We start from the raw sequence: 21,163 nt of genomic DNA, 5'->3' as shown, positions 1-21,163 counted from the left end.
TCAGGAGAGTACCATCTCTGGCCTGGGGGAACAGGCACCTCAGGGCTCCCCTCAGAAAACTCTCCTCCAAGAGAACAGACTCCTAACCAGTCCCCCCACCCAGTTTTTCATCTTATTTTACTTATCAAAGTAATATCTTCCACTGTAGAAAACCTGGAAAGTACAGGAAATTAACTGCATTATTAAAAGTACATTTTAAACTCTCCTCTGCCAATTTCAGCTTCATTTGTTCATTCATTCAATCATTCATCCAGCAAATATTTGAACTAACAGTTCTCTACCCAAATAAGCATTAGAGAGGGAGAAAATACAGGTCGCAGAGCAATTTTCACCCTGTGTGGAAATGCTAACATCATTTTTGATTTAAGATATGTAGTTCATTTCAATTAAATATATATTATATTGAAATGCTCCTCGGACTCGTATTTCATCTTGAATTGAAATATCCATTAACATCCATTCCGTATTTCCTCTGTCCATTTAGATTAATTCCAAGCTCCTGATTCTCTTGGGCATGGCATAGCTCTTAGAACACACCCCACTTCTTTCAGCCCATCTCTCAGTTTTTCCTCCAGCTGAGGGCTAAGAGGTTTGAGATCTCAAATGTTTTCTCTTCTTCTAAAAGCCTTTCTGTCCAGCTTGTGCTGATCCACATCAGGCAAGACATTTTACTTTGAACATCTCTCTGTAAAATGAAATGCTATTGTCTAAGAATGGTGCCTACAGATTTCACTGCCATTGCTGATTTAAGCATCTTTTCTTCTACCTATTTTTTTCTTACTTTGAAATTACGAAAACAGATATCAATTATGACTGTAAAACAATTGTCATTTTAATGAAAGTGAATCCATTTGGAAGATAATGTGAGCAACACTGCATCTCTCACAGCAGCACAACCCCCATCCAATCCTATTAGAACTAGGAGCCTGGGGTACAAAACAAAATCACAACTCTTTTAGTATTCAGATCAGTATGACTTCAAGCTCTGTTCTGTTCATTGTGAGGGTGTTCCTCTTCTCCAGAGCTACCTGCTCTACAGAGTTCACGAATCTTGATGATTCACTGAACTTGGTCCATCCATGTGATGGTAATTTGGAACCCCAGGGGTCAAGATATCAATTTGCTGTGTTATTACTCTGTTAAACCCTTTCCTCCCAAATGACTTCATGACCCCTATACAGAGTGTCCCTCTTTCATTCCAGAAACTTTCCTGTCTCAGGGGTTTGGGATGGGAGGTGGTTCAATGAATCTCATGCCTACAGAACCCCAGGCCTTCCAAACAAATATCATATTATACTTTCTTCCAGAACAATGGTTGTTCAAGATCCTGAAGGGTCTCAGGACCCTTTGCAACTGTGCCTCCAATGAGTGCCCCTTTGCGACTATGCCTCTTCCCCCTTAAATCAGACCTCTGACAGCATCCATGGAGACCTTTCTAAATCATGAATCCAGCCCCACTGCTGCCTTCCCTGCATAGAATGACCCCCTCTTTCCCTATGGATACAACCCCAGCTTCACAATTTCCGCAGTTTGGATCTCCTGCCCATCCCCCAGCCATGCTTCCCCCTTCCTCCCTTTCTACTTCACCTCATACTCTGTGACGTCACAGAGGATGTTCTTTCCTCCAGTGTTTGCAGGAGCCCCTTCCTCTGCGTGGAGTGAAGCTCCCTCCTATTCTGAAACTTCCCCAGAATTGATGGATCCCTCCTCTGTTTCTTGCTCTGAGTTCCACTGTTGCCAGGCCATACTGTGTTGTAATTTTCAGCTCTATGGCCTGTCTTTCTCGCCTCTCCCTAAGGATGGTGACTGCACTTCAGCCATCTTGGTGTCTCTAGGCTCTGGCACAGAGGGAATGCTCCAGTCATGAAACAGAAAGCCCCATAGTCCCAAGTTCTCAAATCTACCTTTTGTTGGGGCGGGGAAGGTTTGAGAGGCTAGTGCGCCCAAAACTCAGTCTTTCTTCCAAAGGCTCTGAGCCCAGGAGGAGCTACCAGAACTACGGAGCAGTTTTAATTTGGGTATCTGACCACAGGCAGCATGTGCCCACAGCCGTCCCCATGGGAACCATGTCAGGCGAAGCTCCGACTCCGAGTGAGCAGCCTGCCTCAGCCCTGCACTCCCTCCTGCCTACTGCAGCCCCAGGGCCCAGCAGGACACCCACAGCCCCCACCTCAGGGGCCCACAGGGGCTGCAGCTGCAGGGATCTGGGTGGGCAGGTTGCCATGGAAACCAAGCTGCTCATCTCTCCCTGGTGTCTGGAGTTCTGACAGGAAGGCCAGGCTCCACCAACGCATCCTCATTCCTGGGCTCCTCCTCGACCTCTCAGCCCGTGTCCAGGGCACATCATGAACACAGAGATGGATTAAGAGTCTGAGAGGTACAGGGAAAGCAGAGGAACCAAGAAACTGGCCATGATTCTCTCCCTGCCACCTCATCAGGCCACTGCCACAGTTCCCGGTGCAGGTTACCACCTGAAAGGAGTTGACTTACCCAACGGGTAGTAACCAAAGAAGGCCAGAGTCACATTTGGGAAATTTTGGTATCAGGAGCCTTGGACCAGGAGATCTTATTCTGACCTCATTCTGATATTTCATAGCCTGACGTCAACGGTGAAGCCTCTCAACCTCTCTAAGCCCAGTTTCTCCACGTATAAAGTAAGGACCGTTTTATCCACCAGATTTTCACTGGGTTTTATTACTCAAAGATAAATTGCAAGCTACAAAGACTGTGTGTGTATAAGGGATTGTTATTATCCAGGTTAAAACATAACCTGTATTCAAAAGAATTCGATCAATGCACATGTGACAAAAGCTGATGAATTATTAAAAGGAGCAATTCCTGGATTCCTCTCCTAAGTCTTAGCTCAGAACCTCTCTACCTAGCTAGGCCTGGTGCTAAGGGCTGGAGATCTAGAAACAAGGCACGGGTCCTGCTCTGGAGGAACTCCTGGCCTCATAGAAGTGTTGTTTGTTGACCTACTGTGTGCCTAGCACTGTGAAGCATGCCAGAATAGACATGGTCACACTTTTCTTAAGGAGCCCAAATAAAACTTTTCAGGGAGATGAACACAAGACATACACCTATGAAACAGAGAAGGAAGATTGTAACTTATCTGGGAAGAAGGCTCTAATGCATGTCTCCAGTAGGTACAGGAAGATTCCTGTACTATAGCATGGAAAGAGGAGATTGAGTCAAAGGGGCAAACACTAGTCTACATTATAAAAGTCTCTGGTTGGCTAGAGAAGAAAAAATTTTTGCAAAATATGTTGCCTTCTGAGGAATAATTATTGTCTTTTAATATGCATTTGTTAATTCATCTAATTGCATATTTTGTCTCTCCCTCCCTTCAGAATGTAAGTTCCATGCGTGCAGAACTTCATCATCTTTTCATTTTCATATCTTCAGCCATGAGCATAGATTTTCATTAAGCAGATTTTCATTAAGCACTACCTAAATAATTACATAGTAGGGACAATAGGCATTCAACAAATTGCCTGAAGAAGTGCTTTCTATCCACAGTGACATAAGTACTTCTTCTTTTATTTTTCCCCCAAAACTCCTATTGCAGTTGGTAGCACAGTAAAATCCTGCCATGATGCCCTATGTGGGGCCCAAAAAGTTCATTTGCGGAGAGTATGTGTTGCATTGTCATGAGGTCCATGAAGTGACTAGGCTGTGCCAACCACCAAGGATGAGAGCCAATTACCAACTGCTATCTGTGTGAGTTTGTGTTATTCTAGGAAATGTCACTGCAAGAGGCATTAACGTGGTCATTTTCAGAATTAGTTGTTCAGTCTTTGTTTCCCTACTAGACTGTGAGCTCCTCACACATGGGCTGTGCTCAATAAATAAGTATCGAGTGAATGAATAAATGAGTTCATAGGAGAGTAGAACATGAGTATTCCACCTTGGTTTGGAGGGTCAGGGAATGTTTAGTTTGAGGAGAGAAGGATGACTCAAAATTGGTAAGTGAAGGGAAGGGAATAAATGGGATGTGAGAAAACAAGCAAGAACATTTACAAAGACTCTGAACTGGAAGAGTGTGGTGTGTTCAAGCATCTGAGAGCAGCCCAATATCACTGGGGTATGAAAGAATGGGTAAGGTGGGGCATTGTTAAAGACAGATCATGGAGAACTCATAAACTACTTCTGGGATTGGGGACTTCATTGTAACAGCAGTGGGCAGGCACTTGAAGGTTCTCAGTAGAGGTGTCTTCTGACAAGATGTTCATTTTCATAAAGAACAGTCTGGAGAATGTGCTGCAGAGTGGTGAAATGATAGGGGGAAACCTGCTGGGCGTTCACCAATGTCATCTAGGAGAGAAGATAGTGATGTATCGTGTTGGTGGCCAGGGAGGTAGAATCAGGGAGTTTCTAGGAGTTCAAGTTAAAGGACTTGGTAGGGAATGGAGGTAGGGGTGAGGAATAGGAGGGACTCATGCATAACCTCTAGACTTCTGGCTTGAGTGTCCAGGTAGACGGTGACTGAGGAGGATCTCTGAAGGAGAATCATTTTGGAGTGGGGCATGAGAACAGAAATATCTAGCTCAGTTTTAAACATACTCAACCGGAGATGCTTATGAGATACCCATAAATGGAGATTTGAGACTTTGCTACATTCACGGATATATGAGTCCAGAATGTAGGGGAGAGATTTGTATTGGAGATAAGGGCTTAGATGCCATTTAGGTATAAGGTAATTGAAGCTATAGGAGAGAATGAAATCACCAAAAAGAGGGCCTAGGACAATACCTAAAGCAATGTCAAGATTCAATAGTCAGATGATGGAGAACCAGCTATGGAGGCTGAAGAGGATCCTCTGCCAATAAAAGCCAAGGGAAGGGCTTGCTTCTGCAAGGTGAATGTGGCCAATTATGCTGAACACCAATGATAAGGATCAACTGAGAAGATTCATGAGTCTACAGGGAAAAAATGGAAATCCCTCAGGATTATGGGGGGGGTCCCATCTTGGTCCCCCATGAAAATTTCTTCCTTCCTTGGATATACCCATTCCTCTCCCTCTTCCAGCTTTCTCCCTCTGGATAGGAATTCAAGAGTCAGATTATTTCCCCCTTTAACTGGAGTTTGGAGGGGGTGAGAGGAGTAAGTAGCTGGTGTCACTACGAGGTCCCTTGAAATAATTTTCATCATGATACATTATCACTGCTATAGACACTTCCTGTTGTTTCCTAAAACAGGAAGCTGGGCCCTTCAGAAATGGGCCTCCTTCCACCTCCGACAGGCTCACTAAAGTGGACCAAATACCCCCCAGCCTAGATATCATCAGAATGTTAAACACCCACCTCCTTTGCTCTTTTGTACCTTAAACGAACCACTTCTGGATAGCTTAAAGAGATTCATCATTTAAGATTTGGCCTCCTATCCAGCAGTAGATCATTGGGAAAGAAGGTTTAATTAGGGCTGCCTATGACATTTTACATACACAGCCTTGGAACCTACGACAGAACACTAGGTATCACCATGAATAACTGGCACTAAAGGAATTAGGCCACTTGCATGGGTGCTCAATGAATCCAGAGCTTCCCTACCCTCCCTGTATGCCACCACTCTTCCATCTGCTATCATGCTTACTTTAATATCTTTAAAAATATATAACATTTTAGGCTGGGGACTGTGGCTCACGCCTATAATCCCAATACTTTGGGAGGCCGAGGCAAGTGGATCACCTGAGGTCAGGAATTCGAGACCAGCCTGGCCAACATGGCGAAACCCCATTTCTACTAAAAATAAAAAAATTAGCCGGGCATGGTGGTGCGTGCCTGTAATCCCGGCTACTCGGGAGGCTGAGGCACAAGAATCACTTGAACCCTGAAGGCAGAGGTTGCAGTGAGCCGAGATTGCACCACTGCACTCCAGCCTAGGCGACAGAGTGAGACTCCATCTCTAAATAAATAAATATAAAAAATATATAACATTTTATTTTGAAATAGTTTGAAAGGCTTTTGAAAGACTCTCAAAAGGTTGCAAAAATAGTATTGTTTCCATGTACTGTTTACCCACCTTTCCCCAATTATAATATCTTCTATAATCATAGCACGTTGTATAAACCAGTATACAATGATATGTATACCGCCATAAATTGATATGGCTACATATTTTTTAACTCAGTATTTTTAACTCAGGTATAAGCTTTATTTAGAGTGCACCAGCTTTACATGTACTTTCTTTTTATTAGTCTTATTCTTATTTTGGAGGGTCTAGAGTTCCATGTAATTTTAATACAGTTTTTTTTTTGTAATTAAGATGTAAGTCCCACACCACAAAATTTATCATTTTAAGGTGTACGGTTCAGTGGTTTTTAATATATTCACAAAGTAGTGCAACCATCACCACTATCTAATTCCAGACATTTTTATCACTGTAAAAAGAAACCCCATACCCATTAGCACTCACTTCTTTTCCTCCCCTTCCTTGGCAACCACTAGTCTATTTTCTGTCTATGAAAGGACATTTCATATAAATGGAATCATAAAATATGAGGCCTTTTGTGTTTGACTTCTTTTACTTAACATACTATTTTTTAAATTTTATTTATTTATTTATTTATTTTATTATGCTTTAAGTTCTAGGGTACATGTGCACAATGTGCAGGTTTGCTACATATGTATACATGTGCCATACTTAACATACTATTTTTAAGCTTTGTCCAGGTTGTAGCACTTATTAGTACTTTCTCTTTTTTTTTTTTTTTTTTTTTTTTTAGACAAAGTCTTGCTCTGTCACCCAGGTTGGAGTGCAATGGCCCAACCTTGGCTCACTGCAACCTCCACCTCCCGGGTTCAAGCAATTCTCTTGCCTCAGCCTCCTGAGTAGCTGGGACTACAGGGGCACGGCACCATGCCCGGCTAATTTTTTGTATTTTAGTAGAGAGCAGGTTTCACCATGTTGCCTAGGCTGATCTCGAACTCCTGACCTCAGGCAATCTGCCCGCCTTGGCCTCCCAAATTGCTAGGATTACAGGCATGAGCCACGGCCCCCGGCCAGTAGTTTATTTCTTTTTATGGCTGAACAATATTCTAGCAATGTATTTTTGAATGAGTATCCAGTGCAGAGCTGAGAGAGTTTCTTCCAGTGAGACATCTAAAGTTCCCTGGAATGGCTCTTTTCACTCTGTCAGATGCACCCCCCCGACTCTAACCAGCATCCATAAGTGGTCCAAGAATAAGGAGGGGAGTTGTGGGTGTTGAAATGAAGTTCCAGTAGGTGACTTTCCCCATGTGCCTTCCCTCTCTGTGCCCTAAGCTTCCACTCTGCCTCAGATGGTGAAGGCATTTGGCACAGACCTTGCACACCAAAGAGCAAAAGTATTTCCATCCAAAGGGAACCACCATAAAAACAGCCATATTGCAGTGGCTCACACTTGTAATTCCAACACTTTGGGAGACAGGTGAGACGACTGCTTGAAGCCAGGAGTTCAAGTCCAGCCTGGGCAACAAATCGAGACCTCCATCTCTATCAAAAAAAAAAAAAACTTAAGAAATTAGCTGGGCATGGTGGTCCACGCCTATAGTCCCAGCTGCTTAGGAGACTGAGGAGGGGTATCACTTAAGCCCAAGGATTCGAGACTTCAGTGAGCTATGATAATGCCACTGCCCTCCAGCCCAGGAGACAGAGCAAAACCCCAACAACAACAACAACAAAAACACCAACAACAATATTGGCAGCTTCTCCTGAACCATCAATCTGCAAGTATATTCAGATGAACCCTGTGGTAATTAGTTGCAGGAGGGAAAAGATCACATCATACCAATAGTGTGGTAAGACTTCTGAACATCCACAAGGAAAGAGATGGTTAATGATTTTTATGACATTTCTAAGTTCAAACCCAACTACAAAACCAGAAGGCAGCTAAGAGGTCTCCTTGAACAATGTGTTTATTTCACAGGTGGAGAAAATGAGATCCAGAGAAATTAAGACACAAAACTTACCAGTGGCAGCACTGACCCTCCATGACAAACTCCACAGCTATTTCCCCTAACAATGCCCTTCTGAGAACTCTGAAGCCCTAGTTCTAGGATGGGAGGAAGAGAGATAGCAAGTGGAAAGGGTGGTTCCAAAAACCAGAGAGAAGCCCTTTTCTAGCTGTGCAGATTCATTTGAGGGAAGATGACAGGGCTTAATGTATGTCCAGGGGCACTCAGGGGATACCCTCTGAAGGAAGGATTCCCTTCTCCCAGTCAACACTCCCAGCAATTACTCCTTCTTACTCGCCAGACCAAGGGGGGCAGAAATCCTGACAGAGCCCTCACCATGCTCTTTAAATTTTCTGAAATTGCCAAGTTTAATATGGAGAGAAGTTTAAAAAAAAGGGAGAAGAAAAAAAAAATTAGAATTACCCATAATTCTACTACACACATACAAACACTCAAACTTTGAGTGTCTTTCCTTCCACACAGTATTCTCTGCATGTACGCAGAATTTTGTTTTCGTAAAGTTAGAATCAACAAAGTGTCACAATTCAGTTTTCATGTAACAGCCTAGTGTTAATGCCTTTGCATGAGCATCACAATTTAAAAACACTTTGTTACAGAAAATTTCAAGAATATACCAAAGTAGAAAAAAATATATAATAAATTCTTACCTACTCCAATTCTACAATTATCTACTCAGAGCCAATAAATCATTTTGCAGCAAATTCCAGACCTCAAGTCATTCCACCCATAAATATTTCAGAACCATCATCTTTCGAGGCAGTTCAGTTTTCATTGTGTGGATAGACCGACAGCAGAAGCACCTTAAAAAGCTTGCCGGGGTTGGGGAAGCATCCTCCTCCTCCTCCTCCTCTCTACCTTCCATGGAGCTCTCTCCCATACCCTCTGACCTCTACCCTTTCTGCTGAGCTGTGCCTTGGAGCAGGGATGTGGCTGTCCTTGGCTTGTCCCCTCACAAATTGCAGTCCCTTCAGGAAAAGGCCAAGGCTTCACAAGAATGGAACCCTGACCCAGAGAAGCTGTTTTTTTGCTTGACTTGAGAGGTTTTGAGTAAACAGAGTTGTAATGTAATAAAGCACCAAGCCAGTTTCCTCCTCTATTAACTGGCATTGAGAGACAAGATGAATCAAGCAGCTGCAGGGGAGCTGGCTTGGCCTGGGACCCCTTGCAGCACCTCCTCCACCTACCCCTCCCTTTTGGTCCTATGGCCCTGTGGACAGGTTATTTTCTCCTGCTCTTTGTTTTGTTTAATCTCATCGGAGGTTTCAGATCTTTTTTTTTTTTTTGTAATTTCATTTCAAACTATTATTTTATAAGACCTGGCCTATTACTGAGTATGCAGGCAGAATATGAAAATTACTCCAAAACTTTTTTAAATGAAATTTTCAAGATGCAAAAAGTGAAACTTTAAAATTTCAGTGGAAGAAGGGGAACAAAAACATTTTAATAAATGAGAGTGTTTATTCCAGAATGGGAATATAGAGACAAGGAAGGTACCATGTGAATGGGTGCACCTCGCTCTCTGGGGTCAATGATAGGAAACAGCCTGTCCCACAGTCAAGGCAGCCTTGCCCAGGCTATGAGTCTATTGTGGATGCTGGAGCATTGTTATCTAAGTGCAGCCTCTTTGCTTCCTCAGGTTTCAGCATTTCCCATGAGATCATTTAAAATCACATTTGCTATTTTACCATCTAATCACACATAAGCCTCTCCCCACACTCCCCCCGCCCTGTTTCCATCCAAGGAGTGCACTTTCTGGAGCACCAGCAACCAGGGTGGAACTCGTGACGGGAAATGGGAATGGCACCCAAGAAAGCATGATTTCTGTAGTTTCGTGAATGATAGCAAGGCTCCCATCAGACAAGCTGAGCCACTGTCACTGAGGAGGACAAACGAGTGCAAGTCTTTGCAGAGCTTGGCATCTCAGACTTGCCTCTCATTTCTTGCTTCACACACTAGCCTCTTGGCTAGAGAACAGACATCAGATGGAGTTTCTTCTGGCTATGCCTGAATGTTAAGCTGAACGTATGTTCCAGGAGCTCGTGGTCTCCAGTAGAGGCAATCTGGGATAGAAGAGAAGATATTTCTTACGTAGAAGACAAGCAAGATTGAGCAGCAAAGGTTTGGCTGTGCGACTTTGTTAGTCTGTGGCTAACAGTGTAAAGATATGTGCTTGGGTATTTTGAGGGGGATTACAGATTTTATTCATAAACCAAAAACAAAGCATGTTTTGTGGGATGTTTTAATATATGACCTTCCTCAAACACCCATAGTTCTTGGAAAAATACTATTAATCTATATGCATAGAAGACTCCCACTGCATCTCTTCCTCTGAAGGATAAGGGTGAAAATATAGCTAAATCCAAAAGCTATCAATTTCTACATGCTACATCAACGTCAAGTTTATACTCTTCAAAGAGTTGTGTTGATATAAAAAGATGTTTTATTAGCAGATGTGATTTCAGACATTTAACAAAAACTGTGATAACAGAGGTCAAATGTCCTGGTAGTATTGACGAAGTTGTTAAAACTAAACAAAAAGGGGCACAGAAAGCAAAGAATGCATGGTCTCCGGGTCAGTGGTGATACACAGCTTCAGCAAGACGTTTTGTCCTAAACTCAAGGCAACAAGTTATCTTGTTAGAGAAGTAAGGATCAGGATCAGAGCAGTGGATTTCATTCTTAGTCACACATCAGAATAAAGTGGAGAACTTTTTAGAAACACAGACTCTTGGACCCCACTCCAGGCCTATTGACTCTGAATGTCAAGGGGGTGAGAGTCAGAAATCTGTATTTTTCAAATGCTCTCCAGAAAATTCAGATGGACAACAAGGTTGAGAAACTTTTGTTTTCAGATATTGTGATGAAAAAAGACAAGCCCAGGTATCCAAGGGTATTATTCAGCCTTCAGTGTAGCATTTATACACGTTCAGAGAGGTGACAACAGGCAAGACCAAAGCCACCTAATCTTTGTTTTTAACCCCAAATCTGTAATCCAGAATGCCTCATTCAGAAATTTCTGTGGTTCTGGCTTTGTTTGGCTTTTTTTCCCCCATAGCTCTAGCACACTTAGTGTAAATTTGATTCTTGATCATGATTTTGATCTTTGAGATTACCTGATTAGATTTGTGCCAGAAAAGAGAAAACACTTGCTATGATTTTAAAACGTAGTTTGAATCAGCTTTACTGGACTTGCAAAATGAAGCAGGGAGAAGCAACCACGTGTATATATTTTAAGTAACAGAAGCCAAAGGTTGGGCTTTCTAGCCACATGTTGTGGAAGGAAGTTTGACACAGATAAATGAATTGCTTTTAAACTGGTGGAAATTTTTGGTTTGAAATGGCATAAAGTTGGTTTGAAATGTTAGGAAGGTTTTAGAGTGGCCTTAAAAAGTAATTTCCTAGTTCCCTGTCCACTTAGTCAAATAATGGTAGTGATAATAGTAATAATAAATGAGCATATAAATTGAAACATTAGCATGTTTTTGCCCCAAGCATATGAAAGAGCACATACCTACAAGGATAATTTTTGAGATAACAATCATCAGAAGGAAATGAAAAAGAAACCTGAGAATGGTCTGTAATGGTAAATGGTAGTAAAGGGTCTTTCACAAATAAATATTGCCAAGAAAATGTTAAACCAGGAGGAGAAACCCACTAATTACTGACTCTGGGCATGTGCAGTCATGTATTCCCTTCTGTCAGCACCCAATCAAGTCAAGAAGGCTCTTAAGACCTTCAGCTTTTTTTGTGAGTGTCAGCCCCAAGATTCCCCTTAGCTCCCCCTCTCTCAGAATACAGACCAGCCCTATGGTCCCCAGATACAAAGTGATACTGTGAGCTTAGTGTCCCCAACTCCTGAGCCCATGAGTGAAACACTGTCCCTGCCCCCTCTTAAATTGCTGTATTCTTTCTCATTCAGTTTGCATCCACCAGGCTCTCCCTTTCTGCACAATCACTTTCTGCCCAAATCTTACCTGCCTTTCCAACTCCTGGATAGATCTCATTCTCTCACAAGGCATAGTGCCTTCCCTCTCTTCCTCTGCTCCCACCTCACTTCTTAATTTGTGTTTATTTACATGGTGCATGTCTCATTTTAGAGTGCCGCCTGTATGTATCTCTCTCCCCACCAGAGTGTGAGTTTATGAGGGTCTCCCTCTCCTTGACTTCTATACCCCATCAAAACTTTGCACATATTAGCAGCCCAGTAAGTGCTTACTGAATAAAAATCATGGCTTGGTGTCATGGATCATATGGGAATAAGATTCGAATGTGACAGCACTTTCTCTCACCCTTCTCACTAAGCAAATACGTTCTGTCCCTTGCCTGCCAGCATTAATTCTGAGAGGCTTAGAACTATTAATATTTGTCCTTAGAATGTCACTTTGGTCCATCTTGCTCATTAGATCCCATGGTCACTCTTCTTACCTTGGTATTTATATATTGTGCTTTTCTCTGTTCTCCAAAGATATCTAGAGCCATGTTTTATGAACTAGTTCATGAGGGTAGGAAGGAGTCAGAGTGGCCATGGCCAGTTATAGAGTACAGTGGCTAAGAGCATAGGCCTTGTGAACTCAGCTGGACCTTGGTTAGGGTCCGTTTCATCAATTGTGACATGGCCATAATAATACCTATGTCACAAGACGACTGTAAATATTAAACAGGGGATGCACAAAAAGGTTAGCCTAGTCTATTATCTCCTATTCCTATTATCATTTAGTCTGATACACTCATTTTATATATAAAGAAACTGAGACGCGGAGTTTCAGTTTTAGTGATTTATTCAAGGCCATGTAGCTGGTTACTGGCACAAGGAACAGGAAGCCCACTCCCCTGCCCACAATGTGAGGTGACAAGAGGGAGTCCTATTGGAGACACTTTGTTCATACTCTGTAGGGAGGAGCCGAGGTACTCAAAGCCTAGAATGAATTCATCAGCAGGTGTGAGCTTGACTTGCATTAGGCACAATCCTTTGGGAGATAAGGTGGAATAGTAATTATTATTATGATTATTTTAAGGTGCTCACAGAGCTGACCAGCAGCAAAAATCAGAGAATGCTTCAGAAAAAGGGGAATTGAGGGAGGTTGTGAATAACAGGTAGACTTATTTATTTATTTATTTATTTGAGACAGGGTCTCACTCCAACACCCAGGCTGGAGTGCAGTGGCACAATCTCAGCTCACTGCAGCCTTGACCTCCAGGGCTCAGGTGATCCTCCTACCTCAGCTCCTGAGTAGCTGGGATTACAGGTGGCCTCCACCACACTTGGAAAAATTTTGTGGTTTTGGTAGAGACAGGGTCTCGCCATGTTGCCCAGGCTGGTCTCGAACTCCTTGGCTCAAGTGGTCCTCCTACTGCAGCCTCCCAAAATGATGGGATTACAGGTGTGAGCTACCATGCCCAGCGGTGGGTAGACTTTAGATAGATAGAAGAGAGGAGAGGTTTCTGTGCCCAGAGTGCAGTGACAGGAAGAGAATCAGAAACATCTAGCAAGTGCTGACTCTGACAACAGAAAACGAACAGTAGTTCCCTCCAGGCAGGAGAGGGGTAGCCACTGGGAAGGGGCATGGGAGAGTCTTCTCGTTTTCTACATCTTTGTCTTGGGGGTAGTTACACAGGTGTTTGCATATGTTTTTTAAAAAGCATCAAACTGTAAACTTCAGATGAATGAACTTGGTGTACTTTGCGTATGTATTCCTCAATTAAAAAAAAAATCACCAGTACTACCACTCCCCAAGAATGATGTGTTAATATTTTTATTCATTACCTACTGAGCAGAAGAGATAAGAACATTGCCTTAGGTCTCCAATAGGCTATGACCTTCACTAAGTTAGCCTCAAGGCTTTAGTGGCTTCTCTGCAGAAATGGGTTAATTATAGGATATGCTCCTATGATTGTGTGAGGATAAAATGACAGTGTTCATAAAATACTTAGCACTATGCCCAAAATATAGAAAGCAAGCAAGAAGATACTTTTATTAGTAAGACAATCATCTTTTTTGTTCAATTTTTAAACACATAAAGCTGTGATCACATTTTTTAAAAGCGCTGGCTGCCTTGGTGGATGGTCATAGGCTAAGCATGGGACAGCAGCACTCAGGCTGCCAGCTGCCCTGGAGCTTATTGGCAGTCACCATGGATCAAGGTGCTCAGGAAGTATTGATTGGTTGCCTGGCTCATTGCCCCACCGTAAACCAAGTGAGCGGCAGGGGGCTCGGGACATCCTGGTTGGCCCGCTGGTTCAGTGGCTGGCCAGGGACTGGTCAGACACCTCACTGTTTCCCCTGCTCCAGTATATTCCAGTTGTAGCTTTGTGGGAAATCAGTATGAGAGGAGGAAAAAGGGAATCCTGGGGAAATTGATAGCCTTGGCCCTGGACAGTAGAAAGTCCTGGAAAATCTGGGTTGTTGTCCAGCTCTGCCTCTTATTAGCTGGAGTCCCAGGCAAGATCCATTACCTAGTCTCAAATTCTGCAACTGTTGGTTGGAAGAGTTGCACATTAGGAAGACTGTATGTTTTGATGCTAAATCAGACAAAGTGGGTAGCACTTCTGAGTCAACTACTTAATTATATTACTTTGGGAGATAATAGTATTAATAGCAAGATTAATTTATTGCTTCCTTTGTTCTTGAGCACTATATATCGTTTTTACACTCATTTAATTTAATTTTCATGACTACTTCATAGTTCTATTTTTTTTTTTTTTGAGATGGAGTCTCACTCTGTTGCCCAGGCTGGAGTGCAGTGGTACAATATCGGCTCACTGCAACCTCCACCTTCCAGGTTCAAGCAATTCTCCTGCCTCAGCCTCCTGAGTAGCTGGGATTACAGGTTCACGCCACCATGCCTGGCTAATTTTTGTATCTTTATTAGAAATGGGGTTTCATCATGTTGGCTAGGCTGGTCTTGAACTTCTGACCTCAAGTGAGCCAGCTGCCTTGGCCTCCCAAAGTGCTGGGATTACAGGCGTGAGCCACCGTGCCTGGACTGTAGTTCTATTATTACGATTATTTTGTAGATGAGAAAACTAAGGCACACAGGAGTTAAGTAATCTTCTAATAGTCCCACAACTGGTAATTTGTAGAGTGGGGATTTAAGCATGGAAAGTATGGCTCCAGTATCCAAGATTATAATCACTACCCTATCCTCTTGAAACATAAGTTTCTTAACCAATGGAAAATATTTTGCTCTGTTGGAGAAAAGATGTGATAAGTGTAAAAATGTGTAGAAAAAAATTGAGAGGACTCAAACTTTAGATGCAATCAAATGCATTTTGAAAAATCTGAAACAGTAAGCATATGCTACAATGTTTGCAAAATGCGACTATTTCACTGAGATCTCATTTTTACCTAATGAGACTATTTCATGAAAACATTCAACAAACCTGCTTGGGGTATGTGCTATGTGCTGTTTGCTGCCAGGCACCAGGGGCACAGAGCTATAGACAGAATGATTTTCATGTCTGCCCTCATAGAACTTATAGAACTTACAGTCTAGTGGGGCAGACAGATATTAAACAAATACACAAATAAATATAATTTTAAACTGTGATAAGTGCCAGGAAAGAAATAAACTAGATTCTTTGGGAGATCTTGGGGCCACCTAATTTAGACAGACAAGACCAAGAAAGGCCTCCCTGATGAAGTGACATTTAAGCTTTAGCCTAAAAGGAGATACAATATTTTTGTCCAAATTTGCCATCTAGAAGCAGAATTTGAGGACCAAATCAGAATGTGACTTGTGAACAAAAGACAGATTCCTTCAATGTCAGAACTGCACAGCAACACTGAATTTCCTGCGTATCCTTTGCTTCCCTGGAATAAACTGAAGGGCTGCGTTATACTGGTTGGCATTTACATAATGTTCACAGTGCTCTTGCTTAGAACCTTGCCCAAAACCCATTTCTACCTGTCAATTTTTATTATAATTTGCGTATTTTTTCTTTAGAAACTTAGAGAAAAAAGGGGGATTATTGTTCATGATAAACACTTTGGCTCTGAAATAATTAATGTTTAAGAAGATTAACAACCATACAGTTGCTTTATGAGCAGGGGCTCATGCTTTTGGTAGGTGTTCAACCAAGTTCCCAGTGGGGAACTTCAGTCTGGGCATGTATTTGTGTATTTTTCAGTGTCCCAAAGCCCAGAGTGCAATGTGTATGTGGCATTCATATTGTGACAAACACAGTCATAAAAACACTCTACCTACAGCTTCCTAGGAAGCCTTCACTAGCTTCTCTAATCTAGGTTGATCCATCCCTTCTTTAATACCTTGAGTCACTTATCTTTATTACTTAAAATTCCATGGTTGGAACCATATAATATAGCCCTTATTTATTTTTATTATGATTTCCTTGTTGCTAGGGCTTCTTTTCTCCCTGAGTAGACTCAGAGGCCTCGAAAATAAGGAACACGGCTTCTTGTCAAGATAGAAGGGCCTCATTATACACCTAGACCAATCCTCTCATTGTACAAATGAGAAAACTAAGATCCAGAAGAGAAGATGCCCAAAGACTGAACATGGGGTTTATTACAGACCTGTGTCTGGGACTCAAGTCTACTAACCACTAACCCATTGCTTTTCCCACTACACCACATCATCTTCCACAGCACCTAATTGTGATAAATACACAGTAGGCTATTGGCAACTACTGATAATGAAAGCATTTTAAAATATTCAACAGAATGAGAAAGAGCTGTCTTGCCATCTAACCCCATAACCTCCTGCAGCTCCGCTGGCACTTCCAGGCTATGACAGTTTCAAGAGAGAAGCCCCTGAATCTTAAAAACTCAAGGCCATGTCCACATTTGATTGAAGTCAAGAACACACAGATCTGTTGTTTCTCATTTTCTAGGAAGTCAAGAACAAAGTGTCTATGAAGAGTAGTCTTCTAATTCCTCCAAAAGTTGCATTCAGAAAGCAACTAAACAGACCAATCACATTTGGGAGAAATACTTCTGCCAGGTGTGTGATCCAACCCAGTCCTGATGTTTGCTACTGCAAAGTCAACCTGTCTGCATGGAACCTGCCTGGCCTCTAATATGACAAAGTCTTAGTTTTCTCACAAGATCATAATCAGAATGAATCAGAGCCATAACATTATTTCCAGGTTCATAAAGCACCAGAGTTTGCAGAGGTCACCTCAGAGCACTTCTTCATCTTCCTGTGTAGTAACTGCCTCTCAAAGACAAAAACAACAACAACAAAAACACGTCCAACATCAGAAAGCAAGTTGGCAGAACATCCAGGGCTACCTAACCCCAGAACCCCTCATTTACAAATCATAGTTCTTTTCACTGCATTCCAATGACTCCTTCTTAATAAATGTCACTGAGTTTCCCTTCAGTCATTGCCCCATTTTAGTTTTCTTGCCTTGATATTTCAGCATCAAGCTCCTCTTTCTTCACAAGAGAAGGCCAGTCATCCTCAGCGTCTTTGGGGCATGGGAACAATCTCTTTAATTCTAAGGTCAAACTAGGCACACTGACAGCAGAAATTCTAAACTTATCAGTCACAGTGCACATTCATGACGATTCTCTAAAGTAGTCTGTCTCTGAGAAAGCCATCATCATTCATTCATTTGTTCTTTCACTCCACAAATATTTATCAAACACTTACATGTGTCACATTGTTTTAGATGCTGAGGATACAGCAGAGGAAGATATGAACATGGTCTGTGGCTCAGGAAGCTTACTTTCTAACATAGGAACAGAGACATTGAACAGATAATTATCAAAATAAATGGCCTCCAGGAAATACTGGTTCCTATGCAAATGAATAACAAAGAAAACTTGTCCAGTTCAGACAGTCAGGAATGGTTGTTCTGAAAAACTGACACTTAACTAAACTGAAAGAAGAAAGAAGTCACCCAGGGGAAAGAAGGACAAAAGCATTGCTGAGAGAGAGAGAAAAAAGCATGTGTGAAAAGACCAAAGCAGAAAGCAAGCTGGTGGGTTTTAGTAAGTGAAAGAAGACCAGGGTAACTACTAGGGGGGAAACAAGGAAAAGGGTGATGTACAAGGAGGTGATGGGCAGGGACCAGATCATGCCAGGCCTTATGTGCCATGTGAATGAATGAAAGACATTCACACGGGGTGAATGTGAATGTCTAAACCCAAAGAGGTTGAGAAGCCTTTGAAAGGTATCATCAGAGAAGTGATATGATCAGATTTGCAGTTTTAAAAGATTATGTTGGTTGCTATGAAAGTAGGCAAAAAAGAATATGGGAGAGACCAGTTAATGAGCAAGTCTCTGGTAAGAGACCAGATAAGAAATGGTTGTGACTTGGTGGTTGGCGCACATGTGAAGAGGTGGGGAGAGGGAGAGTCTACATGTTTATGATGTGAGCAACTGCGTGCTTGATGGTGCTGTTTAACTAAATAGGGAATATAAAAGAAGCAACCAATTTATAGGGGAGAGATACCCAGAAAGAACAGGTGGATAGTCAGGTCTGGAACAGAAAAGAGGTTTGACTGGGAGTTAAGACCATGAGAGGAGATTATACTTTGATGCAAGGGGATATAAAAGAGGACTAGGACAGAATCCCAAGAAGTTCTGATATTTAATGACCTCCAGTATGTAGAAGCCTTCAGTGAAGCCTCATATGGAACAGAGAGAGGATTTCAAGAAAAATAGAGCGGCCAGTCATGTCAAATCCTGCTGGGACGTCAAGTCAGTAGAAGTATAAAAGTTTATCTGGAATTGTCAGCCTGGAGGTCATTTGCATCTTAGCAAAAGCTTTGGTAAAGAAAACTGGGAGAGACATATTACAGTGCTTTGAAGTGCAAAAACATGCATTGATGTATTTTTCATGTATGACCTTTGTGACATTACATCACCTAATTAAACCTGTGACCTCAGCATCCCTAGAAAACCTTAATCAGTTATTAAATTGATTACCCAAATTCTACTGTCCACCAAAACTTTATAAATGGCAAATAATTATCTACATTAGTGACTTTAGTATTCTTCCTGAATCAAAACTATACTTCATCCTTAAAAATATTTGGCTTACTTAAATATAACTGGTAATATTAATCCACAGCTTTAAAAACTGTAAGAACTCACACTGTTTTCCAGGCCTCTTCCTCCAAGAATTCGAAAGGAATCCTGTGATATCTGTTAAGGATATAATAGGACGAAAATTTGGGGTAAAGGGGAAATTCGAAATAGGAGAAAGGAACACGGCTTCTTGTCAAGATAGAAGGGATTATACACCCAGACCAATCCCCTCATTGTACAAATGAGAAAACTTTTATTTGGGGCAGCTGAACCATATTCAAAAGTATTTACAAACTAAATAAAGTGGAACATTGTAAATTCTTTATATTTAATTTAATTTAATTGCAAATGATCTCACATGTTTGTTTTGTTTATACACTGAGAGCTAGTGGTGTGGAATTGAAATAGGCTAAGTGGCTATTGGCTATTAAATCACATATGTAATGGAAATATTAAGGTCTATATTATGCATTTGTCTATAATTTACCTTACATAATGCTTCCATATACATTATTTGATTTTCCTACAGTGTCAGATAAGTAGGGCCGAGGTAATCATCTCCAGTTTACAAATTACAGAAATGAGGGTCAAAGAATTCAAAAGACCCAGATAGCATCAGAACTCATGCTTCCTGTCTTCGAGTCCAGTGGCTATTTCAACAAAACCACACTATCTCTCTGGTTTTTTAAAATTATTATAACTCAAGGTTTCTGTAGCTGACTCAATCCACCATCCTGAGTTTTTTGGTTCACAACACTTTCAGATCATGTGATAAGGAACTTCTTTTCTTCCTTTGACACAAAAATTTATTCCTTCTTTCTGATCCCATTCTCAATGGGTTGGAAGAGATGATACGGAGGTAAAGACTCAGGAGAAGTTAAGATTTATCCTCCTCATCTTCGTTTGGATCTCCATTCTGGTGGGCAGAGCTGTTTTAAGTGCCCTATTAGGCACTTTCTTCTCCAAACTCCAGCTTTCTTTCTTGAATTACGCTCTTCTTCCCTTTTAGCACCAATATAAATGCACCTATTCTCAGCATTTCAGCCTGACACTCTCATTCAGCACTACAAACAGATCAATCATTCACCAAGCCCCACAGAAAGCCAGTCCCATTCAGCTCTCACCCATTCCTTCCTCTCTTGTTCAGTACCACGGTCAGCTCAAATCCAGACTAGGCGCTCACTAGCTATTTCAGAACCATGGATAGCGCACGCACTTTCGTCCGCCCTGTAAATTACTTTGGTCCTGCTCCAACAACAGATTACCTAGCTATTATCTCTGAGATCATTCATAGGTGATTCAGTTAAGCAAGGATTTCCCTAACCCCATTCTTTGTTATCAGAGGCAACTCAGGATTATTCAACTTCAAAGGTAGCTAAGTGCTATTTTTCCAGTGTCACAGATTGCTGAGACTAGGTCTCGAAGGACTGGGCAGGATCATGTAGAGTGAGGTCTGGTCTCACTTTCGTCACCACAAACAGCTTATCACACTTTCTTAGTGGCTTATCTATTTCAAATGCTATATCTTTCCTAGACAGCTTACTCATATGTCCGGTGTCCTGTTGCTCCCATCAGATGTCTAAAGATTAAAATTTTTGAGGCAATGGACAGCTTAGCTTGACACATATCAGTATCACTGGCTGTATGAAATGCTTACATCTTGGAGACAATCTTCTTAAAGTCTTGACCAGTCTGGTCACATCTGCAAAACCAGGGACATTTAATCTCATGCTCACGTTGCCATGGAGAGCCCAGCAATATCTTCAGTGCTAAAGCTAGCTTGGTTATTTGTTCCATGTATTAGAGAACCTAATCACACTCTCAGCACCATGCATAACACAGTTTCACTCAGACATAACAGTAGTTCAGTTAGTATTTCTCAGCACCAGCTCAGTCACACTTTCACCCAGTGCTATGAAAGGTCCAACCACATTCTCAGTCCTAGTAACATCCTTACAATATGCTCCTTATTCTGCCAAGCAGCTAAGTCATACCATGCAGATAATGAACCTGAAACAGTTCATTATCATGGCCTGTTCTTTTGGTATCTCTTATAATTAGCTTAGTCATGTTTGCAGTCACAACAATATCCCAAACACCCTCTTCCAGCAATTGAGAAATCTAGTCACATCCTCTCCACTCCACGGTACTTATTCACACTCCCTCTGAGTCTACATGACTAAAATCATTCCCACAACTAGAACAAGACTC

At 41.8% G+C, this 21,163-nt stretch overlaps 1 protein-coding gene and 2 long non-coding RNA genes across 3 annotated transcripts in view, besides 1 other annotated feature; 1 reads left to right on the top strand and 2 right to left on the bottom strand.

The window, feature by feature from the left end:
- Positions 1 to 810: 810 nt before the first annotated feature.
- LOC107986042 (uncharacterized) lies at positions 811 to 3,231 on the bottom strand. Its single transcript, XR_001740555.3, has 2 exons — positions 1,588 to 3,231; positions 811 to 926 (listed from the first exon to the last, which is right to left on the bottom strand). It is a non-coding gene; the product is annotated as an uncharacterized LOC107986042 (long non-coding RNA).
- LOC105377034 (uncharacterized) lies at positions 9,765 to 12,486 on the bottom strand. The gene is made up of 2 exons (XR_940734.1): positions 12,381 to 12,486; positions 9,765 to 10,015 (listed from the first exon to the last, which is right to left on the bottom strand). It is a non-coding gene; the product is annotated as an uncharacterized LOC105377034 (long non-coding RNA).
- Positions 9,893 to 21,163, top strand: part of SCN10A (sodium voltage-gated channel alpha subunit 10) — a 119,411-nt gene continuing 108,140 nt past the window's right edge. The window contains exon 1 of the mRNA NM_006514.4: positions 9,893 to 10,073. The gene's annotated coding sequence lies outside the window, so the exon portion shown is untranslated. The remainder of the gene's footprint in view (positions 10,074 to 21,163) is intronic.
- Positions 19,330 to 20,860: an enhancer, noted in NCBI's record as "VISTA enhancer hs2619". NCBI's record gives its function as "enhancer in: midbrain (mesencephalon)[3/12]" and the evidence as "EXISTENCE:transgenic organism evidence [ECO:0001131][PMID:17130149]".

Source organism: Homo sapiens, chromosome 3, assembly GCF_000001405.40.
Source record: "Homo sapiens chromosome 3, GRCh38.p14 Primary Assembly".
NCBI lineage: Eukaryota > Metazoa > Chordata > Mammalia > Primates > Hominidae > Homo > Homo sapiens.
This window is presented reverse-complemented; position numbering and strand designations above follow the sequence as displayed.